Source organism: Homo sapiens, chromosome 10, assembly GCF_000001405.40.
Source record: "Homo sapiens chromosome 10, GRCh38.p14 Primary Assembly".
In the NCBI taxonomy this organism is placed as follows: Eukaryota; Metazoa; Chordata; class Mammalia; order Primates; family Hominidae; genus Homo; species Homo sapiens.
This window is the reverse complement of record NC_000010.11, coordinates 76,887,547-76,902,462: the sequence shown is the minus strand read 5'-3', so window position 1 is coordinate 76,902,462 and position 14,916 is coordinate 76,887,547. Positions and strand designations below refer to the sequence as shown.

At 37.6% G+C, this 14,916-nt stretch overlaps 1 protein-coding gene and 1 long non-coding RNA gene across 54 annotated transcripts in view; one reads left to right on the top strand and one right to left on the bottom strand.

Moving 5' to 3' along the window:
- The window catches only part of KCNMA1-AS1 (KCNMA1 antisense RNA 1), a 90,550-nt gene extending 76,131 nt beyond the window's left edge, over positions 1 to 14,419 (bottom strand). The window contains exons 1-2 of the long non-coding RNA NR_120655.1: positions 14,182 to 14,419; positions 441 to 659 (exon numbers count right to left, since the gene is read on the bottom strand). This is a non-coding gene — a long non-coding RNA (KCNMA1 antisense RNA 1). The remainder of the gene's footprint in view (positions 1 to 440; positions 660 to 14,181) is intronic.
- Positions 1 to 14,916, top strand: part of KCNMA1 (potassium calcium-activated channel subfamily M alpha 1) — a 768,207-nt gene that overhangs the window by 735,346 nt on the left and 17,945 nt on the right. For all 53 annotated transcript variants that reach the window (NM_001271518.2, XM_017016222.3, XM_024447990.2 and 50 more), the window contains 2 exons: positions 10,744 to 10,938; positions 12,894 to 13,012. In NM_001271518.2, coding sequence (NP_001258447.1) covers positions 10,744 to 10,938; positions 12,894 to 13,012 — 314 coding nt within the window. The remainder of the gene's footprint in view (positions 1 to 10,743; positions 10,939 to 12,893; positions 13,013 to 14,916) is intronic.

Sequence of the window (14,916 nt, the reverse complement as noted above, 5' to 3'; positions counted from 1 at the left end):
GCATCCCTGAAGACTAACCCTGCCAGAGTTGGAGGTTCTATACAAGAGCTTCCCAGAAGACTTCTAGCACAGGTATCATGGTAAGGCACAGAAAAGACTGGCAGGACAAAAGCTTAGGAGGCAAAGGATCTCACCTACATGATCCTGCCTTTAGAATGTTTCATTTCTTCAATTTTAGCATTTATGTTAACCCAGAAAAAAATGTGTGCCTTCTGGGTCAGGTGAGTTGTAGAGAGGTTTCCTCCGCAGGAAGCGCCTTTGGTAATTGGCATTTGAAGTTCTAGCACCTGGTTTGCCCCATGATGCAGAAACAGCCATCACCTATGCAGAAAGCCTTGGAGTGATGCTTAATTGCAGACTGCTGAATGCTCCGTGAAGTGCCCTACCCCAACCCTCACTCCCATCACATAAGGAAATTTGCATCCTCCAATATGACTGACCTGACACCCTTTTCCAGAAAAGGCATTGTCTTTCCACCAAATTATTCAGATCCTGAAGAGATAGGTGTGCAGAGCACACCCGTCAGCAATGCTCAGAGTCCTTTTCTGCATCCGAATATTGGGGTATCAAAACAGGAGCAAAAGCATCTGCTGGCAAAAATACATCATCATTCTCTGTCATCACAGATTCTGCTGCCCCACAGCTCTGCTCCTGGATGCCTGCATGGAAAAATCAAGGAGAGCCATCATCTGGGATGCAGTGCCAGCTCAGAGAGCAGACAATTATGCTCAGAGATATGAGTGGTCCCAGAGTTGTTCAGACACCTGTGAAACCCTGGGACTGACTATGAAATTGTACCTGTTGATGAGCAATTCTAAAAGTCATGCACTCTTTGACTTTCACACAATTTCAGGCTAAACCAAGGCCCAACGATTAGTAGGTGCTCAATAAATGTCAGTGACTGATCAAAAAGATTTGGGTATAACTGATTTCAACACAGAAGTGGGAACATGTTAGGGTCAAATCCCAAAGATTTGACAAAACAATAACCTCCCAGCCTGACCTTCTAGATTTATCATTGCAATGGATAACCTATAGTGCCCTTTGTTTAAAAAAAATTGACTGTGTTTTTATTAGAACAGTTATTCATACTTCTTGATGAAAATTTGGAAAGCACAGAAACATATAAAAGAAGACATATAAAGAAGAAACATATAAAAATAAAAAGAAAACATATAAAGAAGAAAATATAAATGGCCTATGTTTCCAACACCAAGGATAAGCATGGTTAATATTTTGGTGTCTTTCCTTCTAAATGGATGGATAAATACAGAATTATCTCATTTTATAGGTTGGTTATTTTTTCCCTTTTCAGTTAATATTTTATCCAGAGTATTTTATTATTTCCTTAGGTGTCATGATTTGCAGAGCCTCCATAGGACTTTATGAGACTCCAGTCTGTGGATGTTCCAGAATCGATTTATCACTAAATTTTTGGCTATTTAGCTTTAAAAAATTTTTGTTATAGCAATGATTAATCCTGTAATAAAAATTATTGTACATAAATCTTTGAACAAGTAGCAACTTATTATATTGAGGCAAATGTACTGGGTTTTTTTTTTTTTTAACAAATAGGGACATTTTAAAATTTCTTGATACATATTGTCATGATATCTCCAAGAAACAATTTTACCAATCCACACTCTCGTCATACTGAGCCATCTCATACATTATGGCAAATGCCGATTGTCATTTTTCCTAGGAGGCCCTTTAATTGTGTTTATGATAGTTTTGAAGCATATCAGTTTTTAATCTGTATATAATGATGTAAATACATATTTTATATAGTGAATTCAGTTTTTATGCATAAAAAGTGCATGCTGAACATGAGAACTATCAAGCATCTTGAGATTAAACAGTTTGCTATATTTTTGTGAAGTTGTTTGTGGCTACATTTTTTGCCTTTAACTATTTAGTAACATTTACTTTCTTTTTTACAGAAATTTAAAATAAATGTATTTTCACAGCAGAAAATATATAAAATAAAATTATAGGAAAAAAACCCCAAATTCTAAAACCAAGAATTAACTACTAAGTAGAAATTTTGTGTACTACTTACAGTTACTTTCACATAAATACGTCTATCAGTTCAGGTATGCATTATTTTTCCCTCTGGAAGTCCCCAAATCAGAGCATTATGTACTTTTTGTAATACTTTATGGTAGAAATAAATGAGTGACCATAATAATAAACAGGATATCATTTTCTGATAACTTTCCATTAAACATTGAAGATTTATATTTAAAAAATAATTCAAAAAGTAATAAGTGCATGATTTGTTATATTATGAAACAGTGTACATTATAAAGTTTAATAATAAAAATGATCTCTACATTTTATAAACATATGATAATTGAAAACATTAAAAGGAATCATTAGTATGAAAAAGCCAATTAAAAGTAATATTAAAACTTAAAACCCAGTACCATAAAGATTCAATATTTAAAAGTGGGTACTCTTAAAATTAAATTTTAAATACAGAAAAAGTTAATTTCCCTAGCCAATAGTTTTGCAGGTATGCATTTTTAACATGAATTGTGATTCATGGTGTTTTGGGGATCCTACTTTTAAAAAACATTTTAGTATTATATAATTATTACCATGCCATTAAATATTATCTGAAAGCACAATATTCATGTCTGTACAATATGAGTCATGTCAAAGAACCATTGTTTAATCATTACCATATTGTTGAAAAATTTTTATCAGAGAGCCAGTTTCCCCCAAATCATTCATTGAGTAAAATCCCTTCCCTGTGGTATGCAATGCTTTCCTTGTTATACTAAGGAATGGATCAGCAAACTGTCTTGTAAAGAGCCAGATGGTAAATATTTTCAGCCTTTGAGGGCCACATAGTCTCTGTCACAACTACTTAACTCTGAGTTTGTTAGCACCAAAGCAGCCCCAGACAATACATAAACAAATGGACATGGCTGGGTCCCAACAAAACCTTATTTTAAAAAAGTAATGGATGGCAGAGCAAGATTTGGCCCAAGAGCCAGATTTGCCAACTTTTGTATTAAGGTCTTATAACTACTAAGCTATGGTTCTCATAAATCCATTCTGGTTGATCTTCTAATTTTTCACATTGTCTACAATATTTGGTTAGGAAACCTTTAAAATTTACTATACTACATGAGAGGACAATTTTGTACAACTCTTTCCAGGGGAAATTTAGCATAATTTTATCAAGTTTTAAAAAGTCCAATTCAAATCTGCAATTACACATATGTCAAACAACAATTTTACTGGAAAAAATGACATTAAATGGCCTATTTACATGTTAAGGAACATGGAATTTTCCTTTTTTCCTAATACTCTCCTCTGTCTCTTCATAGATGATTACTACTTTGCTTTTTGCCTAAAAACAGTAGCGATTCTTATTCACGTCCAGTGATTGGTATTAAAGAGAGTATCTGGAATAATACTGTTAATTCTCCTATGTATCTGACATTTTATTCTCCTTATTTCTAATTTTATTTGTGTTTTTTCAGTTATATTGTCATAAGTTTATTTTTTCAAGGAATTATTTCTTGAATTTAACAATTCACTAAATATCCTCTTGCTAATTCATTAACTGACACTTTTCATCCTGCTTTTTTTTAAAAAAAGAATTCTTTTAATACTTAATTTTACTTATTATAATTCTGTTGTATTTAATAATAGCATTAAAGGCTCTGAATTTGTCTCTATAGCATTGGCCTCAAGACATGATATTTTTATATGTCATTCTCAAATATTCTTTAATTTTAAAATATTTCATATTCTAAGTTTGATTTCCATCTTGACCTAGTAGTTATAGGATACTTAACAAAATTTTTTTGATGTTCTGGAATATTTACTTTTGCCTCTATTACATTGTATTTAATTTTTAAAATGTAGGTTATACAGCTTATACTTTGTTATATGTATTGAGATTTGATGGTTTTGGCCATTGATTTTTTTTTTTGTAATCGTTGTTACAAAGTTTAGTAAAAATACACTAAATCAACCTGATTATATCCTCAATTTTCTTATCTTTTGATCTATTTGGCCTGTAAAAGCTAAAAACAGTGATAGTGGGAATATTTCACGTATTACCCTTAGTCCAGATTTATTCTAGTGTAATTCTAATTAGTTTTGCTTTCTATATTTCAGTTATAATATTTGTCCATAAAAAATTATAGCTTTATTGTGTCAACTATGAATATAAAATTAACTTATCTAACATAATAGTTTAAAATTTTTCTTTGAAGCTATACTTTTTTTCTTCCCTTTTTCTCTTTTAAAGATATCAGAGTTTGATTTTGGCATTTGAACAAGTCTGAAAATCTTTGCCATTTTATAGGATCATTTAGCTCATTTATGTTTAGTTATATAACATAAGATGCTATAGTCTTGCATTATGTTTTTTACATGCTTCTATCATAATTATATGTTTTATGATCCATCTTTTGGTATGTGGACTATATTTTGTATGCTTATTTTCTGTAGTGTAAACTTTCCATTCTATTTTTAACTCTAGTTAGTTGTTACCAGCCATTCTATAGATGTATTTTCTAAGTATTATTGTCTAGAAAAATTTAGTAGTTCTTGATTCCTCCTTGTATAAGATCAGGCAATTTTCATGCCTTTATTTCCATCATCATCTCTATCTCATCTCATTTTTCTAACTTTAAAACATAATTTTAGCAATACTATATTAATAGCTAGTTTTGTCATTTTTTTAATAATTAGTTTTGACATTTGCATTCCATTTTGTAATAATATATACAATAATCTTTTACAATTCTGTTTTAAATATATTTTAACAGTAAACCAAATTTGCTCATATTTTAGTTACTAAGGGTTTAAAATTATCTTTAAAGAAGCTAATTTTTGTTTCTAAGTATTTAAAAAAATTAAATCAATAAATGCTTATGTACGCAAAGAGTCAAAAAATATTTCAGTTGCCTTCACAAATTATTGGCAATTTAACTATATGTAGAATTTTTGGAACAAATGTGTCCTGTCAAAATTCCTTTGACATTCCTCTTACATTTTCTAGAGAAGCTTCAGCCTAGCCTTATTTTATACTTGTATTTCTTACAGCATTGTTTTAGGTCATTTTTATTCTCCATTTAATATTTTGAATTCAAATATTCACCGAGTACAGGTCTAGGAGTTGGCCACATTAACTTGCTGAATGCTTTTGATCTGCATCCTAGATTCATTTCCCAGCTCAGGACAGGTTATTTTTATTTGTTTGTTTGCTTGTTTTACACGCTTGCATTTTGTTTACAACTTTGATTTGTAAATACTTACTGTTTATCACTTGACCTTTGTTGTCTTTTTCTCAATATCAACCAGCACTCTTATTAAACAAACAAACAAAAATCCCTATATCTTTCTCTATTTAGCTTAGAACTTCCTGGTTTTACTTCCGTATCACTAATTGTGTGTGTGTGTGTGTGTGTGTGTGTGTGTGTGTGTAATTTTCACCTCTAATACTCATGGCTCCTTAGATTAAAAAGTTGGCCAGTGCAAATTTAGTTGTCTTTTAACTATTTATTTTAAAAAAATGAGACACAACATACTATACAACTCATCCATTTAAAGTGTACGATTCAGTGGTTTTTTTTTTAGCATATTCACAGACATGTACAGCCATCACTACAGTCAATTTTAGAACATGTTCATGGCATCAAAAAGAAACTTTGTATTTTAGTTATCCTACCCTCCCCTACAACTCCACCCATCAACCCACCAACCCTAAGCCACCACTGATCTACTCATTATTTCTGTAGACATGCCTTTTCTGGATATTTTATATAAATAGACTCTTGTTGCAGGAAGTCAGAGACCCCAAACGGAGGGACTGGCTGAAGCCTTGGCAGAAGAACATAAATTATGAAGATTTCATGGACATTTATCACTTCCCCAATCAGTACTCTTAATAATTTCCTATGTCTGTCTTTAATCTCTTAATCCCATCATCTTTGTAAGCTGAGGATGTATGTCGCCTCAGGACCCTGTGATGATTCCGTTAACTGCACAAATTTTTTCTAAAGCATGTGTGTTTGAACAATATGAAATCTGGGCACCTTAAGAACAGGATAACAGCAATTTTCAGGGAACAAGGGAGATAACCTTAAAGTCTGGCTGCCTGTGGGCTGGGTGGAACAGAGCCATGTTTCTCTTATTACTGAAAACAGGTAAGAGAAATATTGCTGAATTCTTTCCCCAGTAAGGAATATTAATAATTAACAACCCTGGGAAAAGAATGCATTCCCAGGAGGAGCCTCTAAAATGGCTGCTCTGGGGGTGTCTGCCTTATGGAGTTGCAGATAAGGGATGAAACACTCCCTGGCCTCCTGCAGCGCCCCCAGGCTTGCTAGGATTAGGAAATTCCAGCCCGGCAAATTCTAGTCAGACCGGTTCTCTGCTCTTGAACCCTGTTAAGATGATTATCAATGACAACGCCTGCACAGCAGGACATGGAAGTTCCTTAATAATTCTAGTTTTGCCCTGACCTTGTGATCTCGCCCTGACCTTTTGCCTTGTGACCTTTTGTTGCCCTTGAAGCATGTGATCTCTGTGACCCACACCCTATTCATACACTCCCTCCCCTTTGAAAATTGCTAATAAAAACTTGCTGGTTTTGCGGCTCAGGGGGCATCATGGAACCCGCCGACATGTGATGTCTCCCCCAGACACCCAGCTTTAAAATTTCTCCCTTTTGTACTCTTTCCCTTTATTTCTCAGACTGGCCGACACTTAAGGAAATAGAAACGAATGTACATTGAATTATCAGAGGTGGTTTGTCTGATAGACTCTCAGTACAATGTGTTCAAGGTTCATCCATGTTGTAGCATGTATCATTGCATCACTCTTTTTTACGGCCAAATAATACTCATTGCACGGATATAATACATTTTGTGCATGCATTCATTAGCTAATGGAAATTTGGGTTATTTTCACCTTTTGGGTATTACCAATAATGCTGCTATAAACATCTGTGTACACGTTTTCATATGGACATATATTTTTATTTATCTTGGGTATATACTGTAAGAGTGGAATTTCTGGGTCATATAGCAACACAATGTTCAAACATATGAGGAACTGCCTAGCTGTTTTCCAAAGTGACTGTGTAGCAGGACGAGCTGCAGACAAAACTCCTCAGACACCGAGTTAAAGAAGGAAGAGGTTTATTCGGCCAGCGGCATTGGCAAGACTCCTGTCTCAAGAGCCGAGTATCCCAAGTGAGCAATTCCTGTCCCTTTTAAGGGCTCACAACTCTAAGGGGGTGCGTGTGAGAGGGTTGTGATCGATTGAGCAAGCAGGGGGTACGTGACTAGGGGCGGCATGCACCGGTAATTAGATTGGAACAAAAAAGGATAGGGATTTTCACAGTGCTTTTCTATACAATGTCTGTAATCTATAGATAACATAACCGATTAAGTGCGGGTCAGTCTTTAACTACCAGGCCCAGGGTGTGGCACCGGGCTATCTGCTTGTGGGTTTCATTTCTGCCTTTTAATGTTTACTTTTTCTTTCTTTGGAGGCAGAAATTGGGCATAACACAATGTGAGGGGTGGTCTCCTCCCTTAACTGCACCACTTTACATTCCCACCAGCAGTGTGTGAGAGTTCCAGTTTCTCCTTATTCTTACCAATTCTTGTTATTATCATCAGTCTTTTTTATTACAGCTATTCTAGTAGGTGTAAAATATCTCATTGTGGTTTTGATTTGCATTTCTCTGATGACTAGAGCTGTTGAGCCTCTTTGCATAAGTTTATTAACCACTTTTATATCTTTTTGGAGAAATGTTTAAGTCTTCTGCCCGTTTAAAAAATTGGGTTGTCTTTTTTGGTTGAGTTATAAAAGGCTTTTTAATACTGAATATTAGACCCTTATCAGACATATGATTTGCAAACATGCTCTCTCATTTTGTAGGTTGTTTTTTTCACTTTTTGGATAGTGTCCTTCAAAGAACAAATATTTTTTAAATTTTTATGAAGTCCAATTTAATCTGTTCTTCTTGTAGTTTATGCTTTTTGTGTCATGTCCAAGAAACTATTGCCAAATCAAAGGTCATAAAGACTTACTCCTATATTTTCTTCTAAGCATTTTGCAGTTTTAGCTTTTACATTTAGATCTTTGACCCCTTTTGTGTTAATTTTTGCATATAGTGTGAGGTATAGGTCCCACTTTATTCTTCTGCCTGTGGATACCCAGTTGTTGCTATGCCATTTGTTTAAAAGACTATATTAACTTCTCCATTGAATGGTCTTGGCACACTCACTGAAAATTAATAGATCATAACTGAATGAGTTTATTTCTGGATTTTCAATTATTTTCCATTGGTCTATAGGTCTATCCTATGCCATTACTATCTTGATTACTATAGTCTTGTAGTATGTTTTGAAACTGGGAAGTATGAAACTTCCAACTTCGTCTTTCTTTTATAAGGCTATAAGATTGCTTTGGCTATTTTGGGTCTGTTGCAGTTTTAGAGTCAATTTTTCCATTTTTACAAAAAAATGGACTTTGTGATTTTGATAGGTATTACATAAAATCTGGAAATTAAGGTAGTATTCCATCTTAATAAATCAAGTCTTCTAATCCAGGAACATGGGATGTCTGTCCATTTATTTAGGTCTTCTTTAATTTCTTTCAGTAATATTTTGTAGTTTGCAGTATACCAGTCTTGTTCCTCCTTCAATATATTTATTTCTAAGTATTTTATTCATTATTTTTCTGAGACAGAATCTCACTCTGTCACCCAGGCTGGGGTGCAGTGGCATGATCTCAGATTACTGCAACATCTGCCGCCCGGGTTCAAGTAATTCTCTGGCCTCAGCCTCCCGAGGATCTGGGATTACAGGTGCCCGCCACCATGCCTAGCTAATTTTTTTATTTTTAGTAGAGACTAGGATTCACCACGTTGGCCAGCCTGGTCCCAACTCCTGACCTCACTCCTGACCTCAAATGATCCTCCCACCTTGGCCTACCAAAGTTCTGGGATTACAGGTGTGCACCATGCTTGGCTGACCTCCCATTTTCTACCACATCGAGTTTAAAATCCCTTGCTTGGTTTTTAAAGCCCTGAGTTCCCCACGCCTCCAAGAAAACAAAGAAGATTAAAAATTCAAAGGAAAGTTGAGAATGGAGCTGACTGTTCCTCTACTTGGCAAAGGCCTCATGTCTCTGATATGAGGCCAAAATGTTTATCAGTGCTTCCTGTGCACCAAGCATGTTTCTAAGTGCTTCATGGGTAGGTCATAGAGCCCCACAGCCTTCTATTATTACATTTTACAGATCATGAAACGGAGGCACAAAAATGTTAAATAACTTTCCAAGGTCACACAGCTTCTGAGAGGTGAAGTCAGCATTAAACCCCTCAGCCCAGCTCTGGATCCCTGGATCCCATAACCTCTCCAGAAACATATCCTACTTTAAGTATCCTTTTTCTGCTTCTGTGCCTAAGGGCATATCTTAACTCTGAGCATAAATTTCCTTTAGGGTCTGGCAGGCTATGGATAACATTCCTAAATTCTTTTGCAGTTGGAATTTTGTATCACAATGGGTGTTTTTGTAAGTATTTCAATGAGGATTGTGAATCCAGCCCCGCTAGTAACTATCATCTTAATTCAGAAGTCCTCATGGAATTATGTGAATATAAATTTGGTTTTAATGACCACTGTTATTTTACAGACGAGAAAAATCAAAGTCCAGAATGACTAGGCAACCTCCAAGACATAGAACTAGTTAGCAAACCTGGGATGGGAACTTGAGCTCACCCTTACTTGGTTTGTTCCCTACTATGCCTTGCCAGCTAAACTCTCTAAGAAGCTGCTGAGGTGCAATTGCATCTTTCCTTACCTCTTTCCAAAGTGCATCCTCAAAAGCCACAGGCAAACTTTGATTTGAGTTTTTTAGCCTGCTTGATTTCTACTTACATAGGAAAATGGAATGCACACCCTTACCTGAGAATTTCTCAAATTAGGCTGGTGACAAATACCTTTTAAAGCTCCTTTATTTGACATCCTATTAATTTTTTTTAAACTCCCATTCTTTTGTTCCTGACAGATCTGTTATGTTTCAGATGTGACACAAATGTACACTTAGAGGGAAACTTCTTTAATAAGTGATATTTGCCTCAGACTACTGAGGTTATTTTAGAAAACAAAAGCCAAAGTACACTTACCAGGACATTCACCTTTTCATAAATTTATCCGGCATATTTAATTGATCGAGATTTCTGAGTTAGACAGTTATCAACGCATGTGGTAAATCGTTAAGCGTGTGGCATTAATGAAAGGTTTTGCCGTTGTCGTGGGGAGGAAGCTTCCTGGCACATGGATGACAGGGCCTCAGAGACAATGCTGCTTGGGTTAGTAGCTGGGGCAGGCTGCATTTTATTACACGTGTCCAGAATCTCATAGTAGTCACGTAGACTTTAGGAGGGGGAGGCAATATTTGTATCCCTACTAAAACCAATTATGGCAAACACTAATTATTCAGATTTGAGCCCTTTACTAAAAAATCCCCTGAACTGGGTTTTTTAAGTCAGGCTGTCGTAGCAGAGCCAAGCAAGAGAGAAAATAACGGAATAATTGGAGGCTGCTGTCTTTTCACTCCCCACATGAAATTATTTGAAGAGACAGGCCAGAACTTTAAACAGGAGATACCAAGAAAAGTTGTAATTTGGATGTCGGCTGTCATGACTTTAGGGTGTTTGCTTAAAGGACTTTTCCCTCACTTTCTCTCCTTCCCCAGACGTACTTCAATGACAATATCCTCACCCTGATACGGACCCTGGTGACCGGAGGAGCCACGCCGGAGCTGGAGGCTCTGATTGCTGAGGAAAACGCCCTTAGAGGTGGCTACAGCACCCCGCAGACACTGGCCAATAGGGACCGCTGCCGCGTGGCCCAGTTAGCTCTGCTCGATGGGCCATTTGCGGACTTAGGGGTGAGTCCACAGCACCGAGGTCACCTGAGCTTGCTGTTTGGGAAAAGCTTGATCCTGAAGAACGTGGTATCAGATGTGACAAGCTAGGCATCTGGCTTTTCTCCTTCCTATTGTAGATAACTGTAAGAGGTGATATTTATTTATAGTTTACTCTGGATCAGACACTTTGCTCTATGCATAGTCATTCATTTTAATCTTCATAGCAACCCTTTGATATAAGTTCTAGTATCACACCTTCTAAGTCAACTGAGGCCCAGAGAGAATGAGCACTAGACCTATTGGGAATTTGCACCAAGGCATCCTGGCTTCAGAGCCAGTGGGCTTTCTCCCTCCTTGGTGTTCTCTTCACGTATCCTCTGCACAAGGTGAGAAGCAGCAGGTGATGCCAGCATGCAGCCAAGGTTGGGAAATATTTCCACAGGCTCTTAGCGTAGCTTAGGGATACTCAACCCAACTATACATTAATAGCACATGGAGGTGGCCAGCCTCAGCCTGCAGGTTTCTTAGTTTTTATATGTGAATAGGACCCAGGCACTGGTGGTTTTCAAAGCACCAGGGTAGTCAGTAGTCAGATGTATCCAGAACCACCGGCCAAACAAACCGAATCTTATGTGGATCCTTTAATGCCTGTAAATCAAAACCTAGACCTTGTAATTTCTGAGAGTGGACCCAGTCACGTTCCCTCATGTCCTCCCTGTGACGGAAGTGGCCAGCGTCTCCCTTCTGATTCCATGTATCTGCCTAGTGTAGGCACTGTGACAGAAGTGTGCTGTCTTTGCCCTTATTCCCAGCCCAACCCCACAGATGCATTTAAGAGATGCAGCCATAAGTCACAGAAACTGATAAACCTGTTACACAAACAATGGTGTCGCCCAGAAAGACTAAATAGTGGAAAAGGAGCCAAGGAAAGGGTCTGTCTCTGTTTTTTCTGAAACAGTGCTGCATACTTTCCCCATATTTTAGTTTGATCATGGACTGGGACCTATGTTAGACTAGGCTTTTTTTGAAAGGGAATTTTCATAGCTAGTGGCTCTTTATACCTATCATTTACTTATTGATGCACTTGATTAGGATAAAGACTTTAGATAATGGTAAGATTTGGTCCCATCAGTGTTCTTTGGTATGAGACCAATATGAGAATTCCAATGATTGGAAGGACAAAGACAGTCATTTTATACCCAGTGAAGCCATCCCGCAGTGCCCAGTGCCCTTCATATAATACAGGTAACATCTACCTGAAGCCACCTGGCCGCTGAAGCCAGCATTTCCAAGTGGATGCATTTGCTTTCACTTTCTGCATCAGGCCCCAGACCCCGGGAAGGTGGCTGTGAACTGATCAGAACTGCGAATCCTAGTTATTCAGCCTGCAGACCCCTGGCTCCTAGGGAAACACATTCTCTTGCACCCTTGCCATCTCTGAGGTCTGTAAATTGTGCTTTTCACAGGGTCCTTACCTCCTGAAAGAGTCTGTCACCATAGGACCTGGTGGGGTCCTCCTCCTTGCGGTGGTTTTCATTATCACTCAGACAGTTTTGACAACACGAGCCTATCACAGCGGTTACAGCTGAGCTGGGACTGAACATAATCACCATTTTGCAGAGAAGGGTTCATCTCCTCAGCTGAGCATACATCTGAGACCATCAAGCTTTACACTTTGACTTAAAGTGAGGGAGAAGCATAATCTCCTTAGAGCTTTCAAACCCCACTGCGACAGGTGGAAAACTGGAGAGACACCAGAGGAAAACCCCATTGTTACCTGATCCCTAAAAATCACACATATTGGGTGTAGTCTGTTAAACATGTTGACTTCTTCCACTGCCGTCCCTTGGCACATGGACCCTCCAACTTGGGAGACACCAAAACAAGCTTTGATGAAAAGACCCGTTTCCCTGCTGTCCCTTGATTTTCAGGCAAATAAAAAGGATGTTTCTCTCTGTTCTTTTGCTGTCTCCCAGGATGGTGGTTGTTATGGTGATCTGTTCTGCAAAGCTCTGAAAACATATAATATGCTTTGTTTTGGAATTTACCGGCTGAGAGATGCTCACCTCAGCACCCCCAGTCAGTGCACAAAGAGGTGAGTATTGGTTTCAACTCTGCCCTCCCACCTAATCACAGAAATATTAATATCCTTTCCTGTCCCCTACTGTAAAGGCAAAGGTCTGTATACATCTCCTCAACATGCAAATTACTCTGCCCATATTAAATCCAACACTGAGTTTGGAGGTGATGGGAAGCATTTTTCTATAATTACTAATAGTAGATGTAAAGACATTTTGGTAAGAATTCAAGTTTTGTATTAATAGAATAATTCCATCACCTAATTACAAAAGTCTGAATACACAAACATCTCTCCCAAACTCTAGCTACTAGGATAACATCTGTTGGTACCTAATATAGAGATATTTTACATTGCTAGTGTTTAAGATAAGTTTTTTTGTTTTTTTGTTTTTTGTTTGTTTGTTTTTTGAGATGGAGTGTTGCTCTGTTGCCCAGGCTGGAGTGCAGTGGCACAATCTTGGCTCACTGCAACCTCTGCCTCCTGGGTTCCAGTGATTCTCTTGCCTTAGCCTCCTGAGTAGCTGGGATTATAGGCACACACCACCACACCCAGCCAATTTTTGTGTTTTTAGTAGAGAGAAGGCTTGTTGGCCAGGCTGGTCTCGAACTCCTGACCTCAAGTGATCCACCCACCTCGGCCTCCCAAAGTGCTGGGCTTACAGGTGTGAGCCACCACACCCCGCCCTAAGATAAGTGGTTCTTCTGCCATATCTCAGAATCCCATATTTTTACTTCACATATTTTAAATTGACTCGCTTTTTAACTTTTATATATTTATTTTTGAGACAATTATATATTATCACCTTAAGCAGAGAAATAACAGTTTAGATGTGCCAATTATATTTTTCTCATATGCATTAAAATAAATTCATAGCAGGCAAAAATTAAAAGTACATCCTAGAATTACCAAGATCAGTGAGTTTGCATAATATACCCTAGGCAACAGTGCTGCAGAGACAAGCGTTTCTCATCCCTGCTTGCATAGTAGAATCACCTGGGGAGCTTTTAAAAAATATTCTGATTACTCTAACTTAACTGGTCTGGAAGGAAGAAAACATCATATATATATTTTAAATTATGTAAACATTTTATATATAATAACCAGGGATTATAGTGTATAGCCAGAATTGAGAACAATTGCTATAGACCAGTGGGTTCTCAAAATTTAGCCATCATGAGACTCACCTGCAGAGCTTGTTCAACCACAGATTGCTGGACCCCATCCTCAGCACTTCCAATTCAGTAGGTCTGGGTGGGATTGCTTAAGAACTTGCATTTCCTAGTTCCTAGGTGATGCTGACCTGTGTGGCCTAAGGACCACACTTGGTGACCACTGCTCTAAGTGAAACAGCGTGATTTTCTTAGTCACATCTGCTGTTGACCAAAGAAAGCTCCAACTAATTGTGAAGAACAACAAAGTAGTGCTGATAAGTAGGCAGGTTTCTTAGATTCTTCCATGTGGTGAATTCCAAATTCCAAATTCTCTCACCAAAGTAGATTTTAAAAGGTAAAGAGCGAGAATAGTCTAAGGAGACACTCTGTCATGGTAAACAAAGATCTTGTGATGTATATCTGGGATTGTCCGAAAATTATGAAATGAAAGTTGCATCACACTTCATGAAACCTCTTGCGGTTGGGCTACTTGAAAGTGACTTTGACCTTGTATAGAAAGGTACATGTAGACCACGAGAAGCGAAGTTTGGTTCTTCCATTACTGGCTCTAATTCCACATCTCTGCCTGGGCTCCTGGCTGGCCTCCTTTATTGAGTTAAACAGAGGAAGTTTCCATTTAACAAGAAAAAGAATGTTTAAGGCCTCAGACCAGCTAGGAGTGCATCTTCCAGATCCTCTGAAAGTCCTGAGTAACCAGGCCATTGCTTTTGGTTCAGAGAGAGTTGAATTCTTTACTCAGTTACTCTC